General features: G+C 41.8%; 1 long non-coding RNA gene across 1 annotated transcript in view; it reads left to right on the forward strand.

Moving 5' to 3' along the window:
* Positions 1-4,550: 4,550 nt before the first annotated feature.
* The window catches only part of LINC01915 (long intergenic non-protein coding RNA 1915), a 34,017-nt gene continuing 21,745 nt past the window's right edge, over positions 4,551-16,822 (forward strand). Inside the window, exon 1 of the long non-coding RNA NR_040033.1 lies at positions 4,551-4,632. This is a non-coding gene — a long non-coding RNA (long intergenic non-protein coding RNA 1915). The remainder of the gene's footprint in view (positions 4,633-16,822) is intronic.

The raw sequence follows: 16,822 nt of genomic DNA on the forward strand, positions 1-16,822 counted from the left end.
CTGCAGAGTGTTTTCCAACTTGGTTCCATTCTCCCCATCACTTTCAGGTACACCAATCAGACGTAGATTTGGTCTTTTCACATAGTCCCATATTTCTTGGAGGCTTTGCTCATTTCTTTTTATTCTTTTTTCTCTAAACTTCCCTTCTCGCTTCATTTCATTCATTTCATCTTCCATCGCTGATACCCTTTCTTCCAGTTGATCGCATCGGCTCCTGAGGCTTCTGCATTCTTCACGTAGTTCTCGAGCCTTGGTTTTCAGCTCCATCAGCTCCTTTAAGCACTTCTCTGTATTGGTTATTCTAGTTATACATTCTTCTAAATTTTTTTCAAAGTTTTCAACTTCTTTGCCTTTGGTTTGAATGTCCTCCCGTAGCTCAGAGTAATTTGATCGTCTGAAGCCTTCTTCTCTCAGCTTGTCAAAGTCATTCTCCATCCAGCTTTGTTCCGTTGCTGGTGAGGAACTGTGTTCCTTTGGAGGAGGAGAGGCGCTCTGCTTTTTAGAGTTTCCAGTTTTTCTGTTCTGTTTTTTCCCCATCTTTGTGGTTTTATCTACTTTTGGTCTTTGATGATGGTGATGTACAGATGGGTTTTTGGTGTGGATGTCCTTTCTGTATGTTAGTTTTCCTTCTAACAGACAGGACCCTCAGCTGCAGGTCTGTTGGAATACCCTGCCGTATGAGGTGTCAGTGTGCCCCTGCTGGGGGGTGCCTCCCAGTTAGGCTGCTCAGGGGTCAGGGGTCAGAGACCCACTTGAGGAGGCAGTCTGCCCGTTCTCAGATCTCCAGCTGTGTGCTGGGAGAACCACTGCTCTCTTCAAAGCTGTCAGACAGGGACATTTAAGTCTGCAGAGGTTACTGCTATCTTTTTGTTTGTCTGTGCCCTGTCCTCAGAGGTGGAGCCTACAGAGGCAGGCAGGCCTCCTTGAGCTGTGGTGGGCTCCACCCAGTTCGAGCTTCCCGCTGCTTTGTTTACCTAAGCAAGCCTGGGCAATGGCGGGCGCCCCTCCCGCAGCCTGGCTGCTGCCTTGCAGTTTGATCTCAGACTGCTGTGCTAGCAATCAGCGAGACTCCGTGGGCGTAGGACCCTCCGAGCCAGGTGTGGGATATAGTCTCGTGGTGCGCCGTTTTTTAAGCCGGTCTGAAAAGCGCAATATTCGGGTGGGAGTGACCCGATTTTCCAGGTGCGTCCGTCACCCCTTTCTTTGACTCGGAAAGGGAACTCCCTGACCCCTTGCGCTTCCCAGGTGAGGCAATGCCTCGCCCTGCTTCGGCTCGCGCACGGTGCGCGCACCCACTGGCCTGCGCCCACTGTCTGGCACTCCCTAGTGAGATGAACCCGGTACCTCAGATGGAAATGCAGAAATCACCGGTCTTCTGCGTCGCTCAGGCTGGGAGCTGTAGACCGGAGCTGTTCCTATTCGGCCATCTTGGCTCCTCCCCTCCGAGGACTATGTCTTGATAGAGAACGTGCATTGACTTGGCGAGGGAGATACTTTGAGAGGACTGAATCTATTTCCAGTAAATCATAAATGAAATACCAGGTGACAGTTTGAGGATCATATTAATTTATTTAGAAAAGCAAAGCAAATTCTGGATCTAAATTTGGAAATGAAGCAATTAAACATATAGGATCATAAGGAAAAATTCTGACGAATTATCCAAAGAAAGCTGTAAAGGCTGGTAGGGAGGTTTCCTCAACTTTCTGTGCCTGGGATTGTTTAAGGGAGCTCACTTTTCTCATACAAAGACTCTCACTGTGGCAAGAACATTACTGCAGTCTTAGGCATCACATTCTTGTTCAGGTCAGAAGCAAGCGCTCCAGTGATGCCTGTCTCTTTATTAGGACAGCAAAATCCACATTGCCTTCCAGTTATGTCTTATTGATCAGAAATCCCATGTCCCCCTGAGCTCCAAGGGATGCTTGGAAATGAGCGTGTAGCTTTTCAGTCACTCTAATGGAGTTAGGGAGAAGAGGGTTGGGAATGGAGTTTCTGTATGCCATGAAGAGTGCCTGCCACATTTTCTTCCTTCATTCACTCTGCCTACTCATGCTAATCTCAATGCTCAGCACAAGTCTCACCTCTTCCAGGAAGCCAAGCTCTACTTTTGCTCCAGCCTGACGAGTTTTCTTCAAACCCTGAACTCAGCTCTTGTTTTCCTGTGTCTAGGTCTTCTCTCCTCAACCAACAAAAGTATCCTGAAAGCAGAATCTGCTTATATGTCTTTGCATATCTTGCAGTGTTCACTACAGAGCTTTGCACATAGTATTAATAGGTATTCAGCAAAAATTGTATTAGAATGATAGAGTGTGTCTTTTCTCACTGTAAAATATGAAGCAAAATTTAAAAAGCATTAAAAATGTAAACCAATTCCCCATCAAACCCTCACCCATACTCTAAAACCCACCTGAAATACCACTTAGTCCATGAAGCCATCTTTAATCCCCTTGACAGTCCTGAATTGTCTCTCCTTTGAATTTTTATGCTATGTAAACAAAAGATGGTCTAATGCTCTACTTATTTCCTTTCCCTTCTTGAAGAATTTACTCTAGAGTGGGCAGTTATATGTAACTTTGCCTCCTTGACCCCTGCTGAGTTGACTACAATGGACACTGGACCCATATTAGAGCCAATCATATAGTTTTTCCTGGGATATGTAATTGAAAACAGAGACCGGGTCATTAAGATGGTGCTGGGTTACTGGTACTAATAAGACCATGTACAGTTGCATTCAGAGTGGGTGCCATGACAACCCATACTTCTCACAAATATTGATTGACTGAAGGCCTAATAAGTGCCCATCATTGTATGGGGCAATAGGGGAAAAAATCAGCTCAAACACCTGCTCTCATGGATCCTCTATTCTAGTTGCAGGGCTTCATTTTAGCTATAGTCAGGCAAAATTACAGAAGAGCAGAAACTAGGAAGCTAAGAGCAAGACAATCTGCAGCAAAGAGAATTGAGCGGGTTGACAAGAGACTCTGCAGCCTCTGAAAGACAGACTTGGAGATTTGGAGATTTGAGCTCACATAGTTCCCATGGGGCCCAACTATGCTTCTACCACTACCTCTATTGCTATTGTTGCTGCTATTACTGGCTAACATCTATTAAGTACTTACTATGTTCCAAGCACTAGGCAAATTTCTTGATGTGCATCTAATAGTTTCAATACCCTTATGATCCAGACACTTTTGTTATTTCCATTTTATAAGCGAAGGCTCTGAGATGGTAGTGAGTTACTTGAGAATGCCAGCCAGTAAATGACGTAACAGGAACTTGAATTACAGGCCATACTGTTTGCAAATTGGTCTCATCTTATTACTCTGTATTCCTAAAATACCCTTGTAATAAACTAGCTTTACTGGGTGTCTGCCCCTTCCAATCAACAGGTACCTTAGATAGCTTGCTATGTTTAGCTTAGACTGCAGGCAGGTAGACAGAGTAGTTCTCTATTTTTCTATCATTCTACAAATAGAATTGTAGCAAAAATAAACCCCATTTTGAAAATGTTCAAAGTTAGACATTTGTATCAGTGTTTTGGTTTGAATATTCATTTCTTCAGTTGTATGACTAAAATTAGTGGTTTCGTCCTTTGTGGGCACCTGAGCCCTGGCCAGAGGGGTAGGGTTGGGAGGGGGCTGGCAAGAGAGTTTAGACAAGGAGGGTGTAAATACATAGGCATATCAATAAATGTTTGTAAACCAAGTAAATAATATATCTTGCACACATGTGAACCATGTGTTCTAAATGGAGAAGTAGTTAATATCTATAAAACAAGGATTCCTGTAAAATAATTACTGAACCCATACTAGCTTTTTGTCAGATATTTTCTATATCAACAGACACTATAATTGAGGGATATATGAGTCTGCCCTTTTTCTAAAATTAAGAGTAAATCCTCATAATTAGAAGTTGAGAATCACTATAGTAAATTCTATTAAAAGGATATCAAGCCTTTATAATGTGAAAGGCAGATATGCTGCTGTCATTCACAAATCCCATCTAAATAGCAGGCAGCTCTCACTGATAAGGACACGCTTTCTGACAGGTTCCAATACAACCTCACACTCTCATTATGATGCTCAAGCAGCCTCTACCAATGGATTGGAGTTAGCCTGTGAGATGCTGCCTTTCTTGTTTAGAAAATGAAGAACTCATGTTGTTCAATGACCATCCCGTGATTTTTCCTAGGGTCCAGATAGAGCATTGAGAATCAGCCAGTTAGTTTTACCAGACACGTCTTGCTTATTTGGCTTTGTGTCAGTGTTCTTGAGTCACCAAATCTGGTGCCTTTCTCATTTCAGTTTGTCAACTGGGTAAAACAAAACTTACCTCTGTATATGGTATTAATAAACAAATGTTGTTGAGCTTCTGTAGAGAGCAGTAGTTGTGGAGTAAATGTTATGGCATAATTGAAATTATGTCTTTTAACTCCCTAAGCAACAGACCTCCCTCCCCACCTGCTTAAAAGTTGGAGTTATTATTCACATCCTGTTTAAAAATAGCACAAAATCTGCAGCAGGATGGGCGTGGAAGTTGTCTGTAGCTTTAATCACTAATGACCTCATCTTCAAATGGTCAGTGATAATAAACAAGAAGGAGGGATTTCCAAGGGAGCAGAGCATTAATAAGGTAAGATTTTAAAATTAATTTTTCAAGTTAATTAAAATGTCCAAAAGCACAATAAAACTACAGAAAATCTGGCAAGGGAATGGCAGCAGGACTGATTAATGCAAGTCAATTGTCTTCTGAGGGTAATAGTAATAATGATGAGATTATGGATATGGAAGAACCTGCTAAAAAGAAATGTGATGCATGTGGAATACAAACTGCGTCCCAGTTACTATTTTATGGTGCACAATGGATCTTATTAAGGAGGAATAGCAGCAAGAATTACCACTGAATTGCTCAATAAAAGTATTGTGTAATTAACAGTGTTGGAGCAGCAGCTGGAGTGATGCCTCCCATTGATGTTCCATATTCTCCATTTACAGTTTGCTAAGGGGTGTAGGTTCTAACTAAGACTGTTTGTTTATTTGACCATGAAACAGTAAACATTTGTCAAGCAGGGCACTAAGCTAAGAGACATGAGCCTGTAAGGATGAGTAAGGCACTGCTTTGGCCCTCAGGGGGCTTATGTTCAAATAGGGGAGATGAGATAGGAATGTAATTAACTCTAATACAATGCAGATTGTGTTGAAACCTTCCATAGAGGTCAAAAGAGAGAGAAATTACTTTTAACAAAAGGGATTTAGCAGAAGCACCTGGGAATCTATGGCATTTGAGAAGGGCTCTGGCTTTGATGTTGGCAAGATTTTTGACAGGTAGAGATAATAATAATTCTCTACTTGTGAGTTCTTCAATTTTTGAAAAAGCCATATGGTATACAAATAATGTCATCAAGCCAAATAGGAAACGATAGAAGTATATTTGTGGTGAAGGGGAGGTCAAAGGGGAGATACGTCTTTCAACAATATGTTGAGAGCACTATGTTGGCACATGAAATGGTAATATTTAATACCATGCAAATATATGTTGCACAAAGGGGACTTTGAACATTTTCGAATCAAGCAATTATGGTTGAGCCAGACATGCTTGGCCTTACCCTTGCTTTAGGTAGCTACTCTGATTGCATAGTGGACTTGGGGGACAAGAAGCAGGTCATACAAACAATTTTGGGATGCCGCAGCAATAGAACATGATGCAAATGATGGGAGCCTAAATTTACAAGATGTGCTCTGTGAAAACAGAAAGGAGAAAACACTTGTCAGTAACATTGTGGATACAGAACTAACAAAACTTGAATGAAGAAGAGGGAGAGGTCAAAGATGACCACCAGCTTTTGAGTCTGGGCCACCAGAAGGATGGCCGGGTGAATGCCAACAATTTGGTGGATGAAAGGGCTTTGGGCTAATAATGAAGATGCGTTGGTACAATAATGACTGATGCACCAGGACAGGTACTTCTCCTGCCTCATCCAGCTGAGGTCAGCCTCCATCTTTTCAGTATGAAGCTGAACTTGAGATAATGCTTCTTAGATTCTATGGTGATATTGAGTTTAGGCGCCATCAGAATGTGCTTGTGAGATGCTGGCATGGAAAGAGATGTTCTTCGAGCATGGTCAGAGGATTATTTAAACATCATCCACTTATGCACTGATGTATTTCAGGGTCATTTAGAATGACAGCTGAGCTTTTCAGTCTCCAAAGTGGAGACAGGGTTGCTGTGAAGCTCAGTTCTGAGGTCCTGGAAGGAGTCTGGACCCCAGATCATGGGATACAACTGACTTTTAGTTTGGTTTTTATAAGGTTATCTTTAGGCCTCCTTTTGATTTTCTTTTAGCTCCAAAGAATTCATTCCACACTTCCTTTCTCGTTGGGTTTCTATTATTTCTGGCTATATTTTCTTTACCCAGCTGCCTTTGTTTCTGGCATTGGCGCTGATGAGCACAGAAGGTGTTGAAGCATAGAAGCCAGCTGACCCAGAGTATAATGAAGCACTAAGATGGAGTGGAAGAATTGCCAAGAAATTCAAGCTGGGGTAGGTTATAGTCTAAAGGCTCATTCTATACCAGGCTCATAAATCTAGTTCATTTTCAACTCCCTTGTTTCCTTAGTCCCTTGTAACAATTTACCAGTAGGACATAAAGTTTCTAGCTTTGTTACGTCTCAGATCCATCCCTACCTCTCTAGCTCCAAGGTCACAGTCATAGTTTTGCTGTCAGTCTTCTTTCATGAGGGCTAGTATAATCTCACTGGTGCTCTGAACTCTATCTGGTCGTCTTCCAGCTATTCTGTGCACTGCAGTGCACAATATCTTCATTTTCAGGATTCTCCAAAGCCTCTATGGCTCTCCGTTGTTCCTGAAATCAGATTTAAAACCCTGATCCTGGACGTTCAGTCTCTCCCTTGGTCATGGCCCTCCTGAGACGTCCTTGCCACCTGCTGCCACCTACCCGTGTTTTGCTCCTGTCGGTAAACAGCCTTGCTGTACACCACACACCATTTTATGGCAGCCACTTCGGAAAAGCTGTCGGCACCACGGCCTCCTAAAGTGCCATTTTTCTCTGCTTCCCCCACATCTGTCTCAAATTTCCTTTAGAGGTCTTTCTTTTTAGGATCAGGCAAGCTACTTCTTGGCATGAGTCGGTGTGTCTCTGTCACCCTAAATGCAGGTGGACAGAATGCAGGTTACCAAACCCTTTCTTTTTTTAGCAGGCTGTGAGGCCAATCTTATCCTTTCTGGTAAGTCTGCCGGTTGATAACTTTTCCTTTCTGCATTGAGCATCATCTTATTAGCTCTATTCTTCAGTTGTCTGAAAAAATTACTGCACTGTTAAGTCTCCTGCTAAACATAGACTGTAGAAATATGGCTTACAGAAGATCACAGTACTTTCCAAAGTGTACTTGGATTAAAAAAAATGGGTTCTAGTTTCACGCAAGTATGAGAAATCCTGGATTAAGCAGAGCTAAACAGGTTTCTTTCTGGGGGACTACTTAGAGATTTTAATGATGTATATTTTAGATCTCCAAGAAGGGGTATTTCATGATCCATCAAAATTAGGGGTAACTCTCCTCTCTGGGGGCAGGCTCTCTTTTGATTTCTTTTTTCTTATTGCAATGAAATGTAAATTTCAAGACATCCAGAGATATAAACGAACTGAAAGAGACTGGATTTTTTTGTTTCCAACATGATGCAGCGCTAAATACCACCAGGGTATTATTGCCTCTGGCTGAAGGTGAATAAAGCCTTTGGCTCTCAGAAGTGTTCAGGGCCCAGAACTGGCACAGTTCACTGTCTTTAGGGAAGAATGACAGAGAGATGCCTTCTGCCTGCAGCCACGTCCCTGCCAGCACAAAAGGGCAACCGTTCTAAAAAGGGAAACGTGGTCTCAATGCTTCTCACTGCTTTCCTGAGGAAAGAAATTGCAGACCACAAGGGTGACAGCAAAACTCAACATTCTTACCTCATTTAGGACGCTTAGGAGTAGGTCCCCTCTCCCTTTATTCTTAAGGCATTCAAAAGAAAACCTTACTTTTAAACGTCTCACGGGGAAACGGCACACTTTTCATGCTTTGCTTCTTTGTTGCTAATGCATAAGCTCTGCTCTGGTTAGTCCATGCTGGCTACATCCCAGCTCCTGCACGTCCCACGCCCACGTCTTCCCTCCCAGCTCTGTACCCAGTAGGTTCGCTGCTGTAGAGGGCGCCATGTGCACCGTGCACCCTTTTCTTCAATACCCACCTCCCTCCCTCTTTGGTCCTGCTCCGGAGCCCGGTCCTGCTCCGAAGCCCGGTCCTGCTCCGACCCCACCTCCCATGGGCAGCCCCTACCCATGGCTCCAGACCTCAGTGTCCTGCAACGGGGAGGGGGAGGGGGAAGCTCTCTCCTCCCCCTGCCCTTGACCTGGGGTGGCCAAGGCTTCCCACGGCTGCTAATTTCCAGGTGCCTCAACCTCTCTTTGGGCGTTCCCTTCACTCTGCCTACAGCTCTGCAAATAGTCCCGTCAGTGGCTAAAGCCTCTGGAACCTTCCGAGTTGGGTCCTCTTTCTTGCTGGACCCTGAGTGAGACAGTATATTTTCAGGAAACGTACGCAGGTCCCTCACATGAAAATACCGGAGAGCCGTCACAGTGTGTCATTGCCACCTCCTTCCCCTGACAGACAAGGAGCGCAGCTGGGCCGCAGGTGGGGAGTCTCCCTTGGGATCAGAGCAGGGGGCCCAGCAGGCCGTTTGCCCAGCCTCATGTAGCCAAGAAGCCCTTTTTGGTGGAGGGAATCTCAGGGGATTAGTATTACAAAGGACCCATTTTGAAAAGCCCTAGAGCAGAGTATAGCTCAGGAGGGATGGAGCACATTTAGTGGTTTGCTGATAGCAGGTATTTAGGAGGCTGATCTGGGCCATGCTGGAACCACCTGGCCTGGCAGATGGCTGCAGTATATTTTAGAGAAGTCCCTAAGTGTGCCTCAGTACACACTGCTCTTCACCTCTGTTCTCTTCAACAATGCGTAAGCAAATCTTGGCTTGATTTGGCTGGGTGGGGGGCGGGATGCTATTGTAGCTTTTGAAATATATCCCAGGGGATCCTTTTCCTATGCTAGGAACTCTGACCTGTTGCTTTCTGATATTCCCAGGGAATTGCACTGTCCACTCAGAAGTGAGGGGACGTCATTGTCCTCTCTGATCACAGGAAGTGAGGGGACGTCATTGTCCTCTCTGATCACAGGAAGATGAGTCTCAGAGGTAGGCATAGAAATGCCAGAGCTCTCTTTCGAGAAATAGCGAACTTACCGTAATTTTGGTGTTAGTATGGTAGGCATGCTGGGATGAGAAGGGACTTGGCAAAAAGGCTTGAACATTACTGAATTTGTTTGTCCTTTAGAAACAGAAAAGATAGGAGCGCACTTTACTCTTTCAGTAACCCTGTGGTCAGAGTGCAATGGTCAGAGGCCGAGTGGCCTCTTCAAGATGTCCGGGATGCAAGTCCCTGTCCGTATCATGCATCAGTAGCAGCCCTGGGTGAATACGGTGTCATGGAGCCCTGGGAACGCAGCAGGAGCCCTCATACCTTGTGGCCAGCTGTCTCTCTCTCCCTGCTTTCTGTAGAGCTGGCTACTTTGTAACTCTCCTGGAGTCCCCCATGAGGCCCCTGTCCTGTGACTCACTGTCCACTCAGACTCTGCTCAGATCACCTACTGAACTGGTCACCACCAGCTGGTGCTTAATTGCCTCCCTGGCTTTTACTTGGCCTTGAATCACTCCTGGTGCTTACATCAATCTGTTGTCTTCTCCAGAGGCACAGAGTGGAGGAACTTGCTTTGTCTTTATTTCTCTGCAAATAGAGGACCCCTCCATGGGCAAGGATGAATGGGTTACTCAGAGTTGGATTGTAGTGTCTTGTGGGGCTTTTCCAGGAAACTCCCCCAGATTGCAGGAAAGAGGGCCTCAATATCCTGCAGGACCTGAAGGGCATCCTACCTAACTCATAACAGGGACAGCTGCCGTCCATGCAGTTGTGCAGCATGGGGGCCTTACACCCGATATTCTCCAAGAGGACCAGCAGGCCCATCCATCACAGACAATGCCTGGCTCAGCATTTTTTTTTTTTTTTTTTTGAGACGGAATCTTGCTCTGTCGCCAGGCTGGAGTGCGGTGGCATGATCTTGGCTCACTGCAACCTCCGCCTCCTGGGTTCAAGTGATGCTCCTGCCTCAGCTTCCTGAGTAGCTAGGACTACAGGCACGTGCCACCATGCCCAGCTAATTTTTGTATTTTTAGTAGAGACAGGGTTTCTCCATGTTGGCCAGGATGGTCTCGATCTCTTGACCTCATGATCCGCCTGCCTTGGCCTCCCAAAGTGTTGGGATTATAGGCGTGAGCCACCGCGCCCGGCCCAGCTTCTTTATAGGAAGCAGGATTGGAGGCCTCTATCAAGGATAAAATCCATTTTCATCCCATTTCCGAAAGGGCTTTGGTAACCCCAAAAGCGGAAAATGACCTGCTGTAAACCCGATTCTGTTCTCCAACACAATCCTTTGCCCTCCCAACAAAGACCTGGGCAAGGATGAAACCATGGGGCAGGACTTCTGTCTCCTACAAATATGCCCAGTTATCTTTGAGAACCCCACTTACGATGAACCTGAGCTTGGAAGCTGTCCCAGTCCTCACTCTGGGGTGATCATTTTGTCCTGGTTTGGGCAGGACTTCCTGGTTTTAGCACTGAAAGTAAGTCCCATGTCCCTTCAGTCTCAGGTAAAATGAGATAGCTGGTCACTCTCCCTCACACCCTCTTCCCTTCTGGGCCTGTCATTGCACACTTCACATTGTGTATTCACTGCACCTTTCTGTGAGGCTGTGGGCTCCATGAAGAGAGGGGCCCTATCTTGTTCCTCTTCATCTCGCCTCATACCTAGTATTAGAAAGTGCCCCATGACAATTTGTTGAGCAGGAATTGCTACTCAAGGCTTAGATGCTGCATAAACAGCTCTACTCTGATTTTAAAATTTATTTTTTAAATGTTTACTTTATTTGACAAATAGTTATTGTGTATATTTACAAGGTTCAATGTGATGTTTTGATAGATGTATACACTGTGGAATGATTATATCAAGCTAATTAACATATCCATCACTTCACATACTTATTTTGTTTGTAGTGAGAACATTTGAAATCTACTCTTTGAGAGACTTTGAAATAAGCAGTACATTATTATTAACTATGGTCACTATGCTATGCAGTAGGTCACTAAAACTTAGTCTTCCCATCTAACTAAAACTTTCTACCTTTTGATCCATATCTCTCCATTCCCCATCCCGCCAACCCTCATTCTACTCTCTGCTTCAATGAGTTCAGTATTTTCAGATTCAACATATAAATTAGATCATGCAGTATTTTTCTTTCTGTCCCTGGTTTATAGAATATGTGGAGAGGATCGCTCAGGGCTCTGTATTTATTATGGGGCCCCTGCTTTATACCTGAAAAATAAAACTGGGATCCCTAAACTTTGCAACGATTATGGGGGCCTCATTATCTGGGACTATTACCTGTAGCAGCTATAACATTCATTATTTAAAAACTTTTGAGTTTTTAAAAAACCATTTATTGTAGATAACTGGAAAACACAAAAGAACATATAATGATGCACAATTTTATTGCTAAAGAAAAATCACTGTCATTTACTATATCCCCTTTATAAAATACAAATTAAATAATCATTTTGTAGTCTGTTTTTTCCATCCTCTAATATAAAGTGAGTATTTCCCCTTGTCAGTAGCATTTTTCTACAACGTAACTAAAAATGGATGTTAAGAATCTTTGTAAAAACCAAAAGGGGATTCATCAGTTTTTATTTGTATATTTTAAGTATGCTGAGTAATCTAGTCATAAAAATGAATGTATGCTAATTAAAAAAAGGCCATTTCAAAAAGGAGAGAAGAAAAGTCACCCTAAAATCTCACCCCACCTCAGAGATAATCTTTTGATAATCTTGTTAACATTTTAGTGTCTATCTTTCCAGACATTTTCCTGTGGATCGATAAACATGGCCATGTAGACTTAAACACATATTACTACCCAGGCCAAACATCTCTTTATATACTTACTGCACATTTTAATTTTTTTCACTTCTAAAGTGTTTATGTAATTTACATTTTTTTCTGGTTGGGTTTCAATATTTTCATATAGACTTATATGATCATTTTAGCATATTAGGGCTATTAAACATTTTGTTTTAAAATTTTAGCAGTATCTCCCTCAGAATTTAATTTCTTTTAGCCATTTTGTTTCCTCTTCAGAACTTTAAATTTCAATGGTGTGTAATATGCCAATGTTATCTATTTAGTTTCTGCCTTTGGTTCAACATAATACAAGGTCTTGACCACCCCTAAAATATATAAAGAAAAAAATCTATGGCTAAGTATGAATTCCCTTCTTTATATTTTAATTTTTAATCCATCTGGAATTCATCTAGCTTAAAGAATTATGCAGTAAAGGAAACAAATTTACTTATTTTCTCCCAGAAGGCCAGCTAATTGTTCCAACATCTTTTCCTCTTTAATTAGAAATGCCAGCTTTAGCATACATATGTAATGTTCCCATTATTGTTATTCTCTTAAATATTCTACAAGTGTAGTTTTGCTTTTTTCCCTTTACCAGTGAAATTTGGATGGCTTAATCTCTCAGGAGTGGGTCTCATTCCTCGTTTCTTTCTATAACATTAATCTATTTGTATCTTTTTTTTTTCTGTTGTGGTCAGTGAATATGGTCTGAATAACACTTATTGGTTGGAATTTATTGAGGTTTTCTCTGTAGTATAATATGGTTCAATTTTTGTAAACGTCACAAGAAGATATTAATACAATGTCTATATAGTATATACCTCTGTCTTCTCTCTCTCATCTGTAATTTCTATTACTGCTAAGTGTGGGTTGGAACCTTTTTAAAAGAGGGATTTGAAGTTTGGAACTTGGTTTGTTGGGGAGGAGACCCCTTTGACTTTTAGATTAAGTAATTGCTTGATTAACTGCACGGGGATATGGGGTCAAATTTTCAGAAAATAATCACAGCGTCTTTGCTCTTTTTATAATTATTCTTTCCCTTTCAAGCATCCTGAGTCATTTTATTTTAGGTGTTTTTCTTTTATACAGAATTCAGTTGAGTTTCAGTTTTTGATTCAGTATGAGGGGTTTTGTTTTGTTTTTGCAATGATGCTTTATTCTTTATGTATGATTGTTATGTTGGTTATGTTTGTTTTTATTTAATTTGCAATGGTGATAGATTGCATTATTGTTCTCAATTATTTATCCACTTCCCCACTTAGCTGTATTTTATAGGAGGCAGAGTGTACTTTCCTTTCCTGCCCTATTGACTTTGGGCTTTGCCATGGGGTTGTTTTGACCAATGCAGTGTAGATGGAAGGAACAGTGGCCAGTTTTGATCAGAGGTTTAAGAAACACCATGAGTTTGTCTTGTCCCTGGAGCTTCTGTCCCCTGGCACAAGAACCCCCTCACGGTGGCTGCCCCTTCAGCTTGGGACATGGAATGAGAAGACACAAGGAGCCCATCAGAGCTCAGCTGAGCCCAGCAGAAGTACAGCTCACCTGGAGACCTGCAAGCAAGAGTAAATATTTGTTGGGGGAAGTTGTTGAGATTTGGGGTTGCTTGCTGCTGCAGTTACCATGTTTCCCTTGCTTTACCCTACTCATTCTTTAAAACTACTTTCTTTCTTCCTTCTCCTCATCCATGCATCATTGAAAACCATTAGCAGGCCAGAATGAAGTAGGCAAGCCAAGCAGGGATCAAGGCCTGTGGACAAGGAGGGGATGGGGCTGTGCTAAGCGATTTGCTATGTCCTGGAGGACTGAGAAATGCATTGAGGATAATGGGAGTCAGGTCTCTTACTGTTGGGAATATGGAAATGGAGACAGCTAGAATCGGGTTGCCAAATTTAGCAAATAAAAATACAGGACACTACTTGGGACAGATTTATACTTTTAGTTATCTGAAATTCTAATTTAACTGGGCATCCTGTATTTTATCTGGTAATCTTGGATAAAATAAACCATGTAGTGTTGGATTGAAATTGGAGGTACCAGCATGAATTTACAGATTTACACACACACACACACACACACACACAAACACACACACAGACACACACACGTAAATAAAGACATGTGACGTATACATATGTAGGGGCCAAGAAACTTTCTCCTTGGCCCTCTGAAGTTTTGCTGAAAAATCAACTTGCACAAGGTAGACTAATTGGAGAAAAGGCATACAAATCTATTTAACATGTATACATGGGAGCCTCCACAATGAAAACCGCTAGATACAGGGGAAATTTTCCATTTTTATGCTTAGGTGAAAGTATGGACAGCTTTGTGGAAATATAATTGGAAAAAAAAGAGTATGATCTAATGCTAATGGACTGAGTGGGGGAACCCAGCAAGATCTATCTGTCTAGATTATTCCTGGCCTTTCTGAGCTGCTTTTTTTTTTTTTTTTTTTATGGGTATGGGGCAGGGCCCTCTGAAATGGAAGTATTGTGACCTACAGTCAAACAAGGTAGGTCAGTTAATTTTTTATGGTCAGTTTTTATACAGAAAGGCAAAGGGAAAGTTAGATTAATATTTTTAGGTTTTATGGTTGGTTTTTGGGAAGGGGTTCTGGTTTCTGTGACCTGCCTTGGAGAAGAGGGATTCTAGTTTCTATGGATAGCCTTGTGGGAGAATGGTTCTGAGAGACAGGAAGGTAGGAGGTCAGTAAAAAGCTTTTGCTTCTGAGGCTGCTTCTGAGGCCTTCGTTTCAGGATATTGTTTTCTGAGCCCCTACATTCCCCAGTCTGAAACTTCCCCAGGAAGTTTCACAGTCCAGATATCGGGTTGGTGGATTGTTTTATAATCCATTGAACAAGGTTCTCAGTCCTGAGGATAAGGTAGTCCAATTACACAGTTGATAGTTGTGTCTCACTGCAGGCAGCAGTGGTGCAGGTGGGCTTCCACCACCGTCAGGCCTCTCTATGATTTGAGCAGTCAGTTATTTAATAAGAAGCATTCCTATGAGAACAAAAGAAAAACAAAGGCTAATGGTTAGAACAAACTATAAACTTAGTTTCTGAGTCCAGAGGGAAGCCATTTGAGAAGATTTTTAGATATTGGGCTTGAAGCATCTTCTGATGAAGTGAGAGCAGACAGTGGCAATCTGACAGATTTTTTTTCGGTTTGCAGTTTGCATCAGGTGTTCCAGTGAACTTTCTGAGTAGTCTGTACACCAGCAGGCACAAAGGCTATTCATACATGAAGTTGCTGTAATGATTTTTCAAAGCTTTTTTTTTTTTTTATCAAGTTGTCTAGTTTTAGCTTATAAGGCTTTAGGAAAAAGCAGTTTTAGTTTTAGTGATTTTAAGTAAAAAAATTGTAAACATTAGTTTGGAGCCAGTAAAAAGTTCAGTATTTGGTCCAAATTGTATGCAAATAATAAAAACTCAAAAACAATGGACAAGGCTAGAATCTAGAATCTAATAACAGACCTAATAACAGATATATTAAAGTTTTCTTCTGAAACATAATTTTCCTCCAGTCCTCTGTTTCTACCAATGACAAATCTTAGTATAATTTATTTGAAAAGTAAGTCCTAGTCTTATTTTACTTGGCCTGATTGTTTGCATAAAGTGTGGCAAAAATAGTGATTGGCCACATACGGTCTTTTTAAATTGGGTTTTCTGGAACTTTTTATAAGGAATTTCAGATAAGACTTTCGAAAGCCTTCTGAGGCTAACAAAGCCAAAGATTTGTCTTTAAACTGTTCCTGTAATACTTGTATGAATTGGGTGAATTCCTCTTTGAGGTCCCAGAATTACTTGAGGTTTCTGATCCTATCATTCTTTACTTACCGCAGGCCAGAAACCTTGTAAAGAAACCATGTAGACAGGTTCCAGCCCATTTTTTCCAAGGGGTTTTTTATCAGTTCTATAAAGTCAACTTCAATTTATTTTTTAAAATTTTCTTGTTTTAAATTTTACTCTAAGGTCTGAGATACATATGCAGAACATGCAGGTTTGTTACATAGCTATATGTGTGCCATGGTGGTTTGCTACACCTATCAACCCATCATCTAGGTTTTAAGCCCAACATGCATTAGCTATTTGTCTTGATGCTCTCCCTTCCCTTGACCCTCACCCCCTGACAGGCCCCAGTGTGTGTTGTTCTACTCCCTGTGTCCATGTGTTCTCATTGTTCAGCTCTCACTTATGAGTGAGAACATGTGGTGTTTGATTTTCTGTTCCTGTGTTAGTTTGCTGAGGATGGCTTCCAGCTTCATCCATGTTCCTGCAAAGGATATGTTCTCATTCCTTTTTATGGCTGCATAGTATTCCATGGTGTATATATACCACATTTTCTTTATCCAGTCTATCATTGATGGAAATTTGGGTTGAATCCATGTCTTTGCTGTTGTAAATAGTGCTGCAATAAACATATGTGTGCATGTGTCTTTGTAGTAGAATGATTTATATTCCTTTGGGTATATACCCAGTAATGAGGTTGTTGGTGAGGCTATGGAGAAATAGGAATGATTTTACATTGTTGGTGGGAATGTAAATTAGTTCAACCATTGTGGAAGACAGTGTGGTGATTCCTCAAGGACCAATTTCTTAAAGCAGTCTGTTTACATCTGAAAATATGCCATTCCAGTCAAAACCCTGGTAAAATAATCAGTGTCTTTAATTGTGTCCTGTTACAAAAGAAAAGAGGTTCTTACTGAACTTATGCAAATAACTATATTGTCATAAATTAAGAATACTCACAAATTGTTTCTAAATTCT

This window comes from Homo sapiens, chromosome 18 (assembly GCF_000001405.40).
Source record: "Homo sapiens chromosome 18, GRCh38.p14 Primary Assembly".
NCBI lineage: Eukaryota > Metazoa > Chordata > Mammalia > Primates > Hominidae > Homo > Homo sapiens.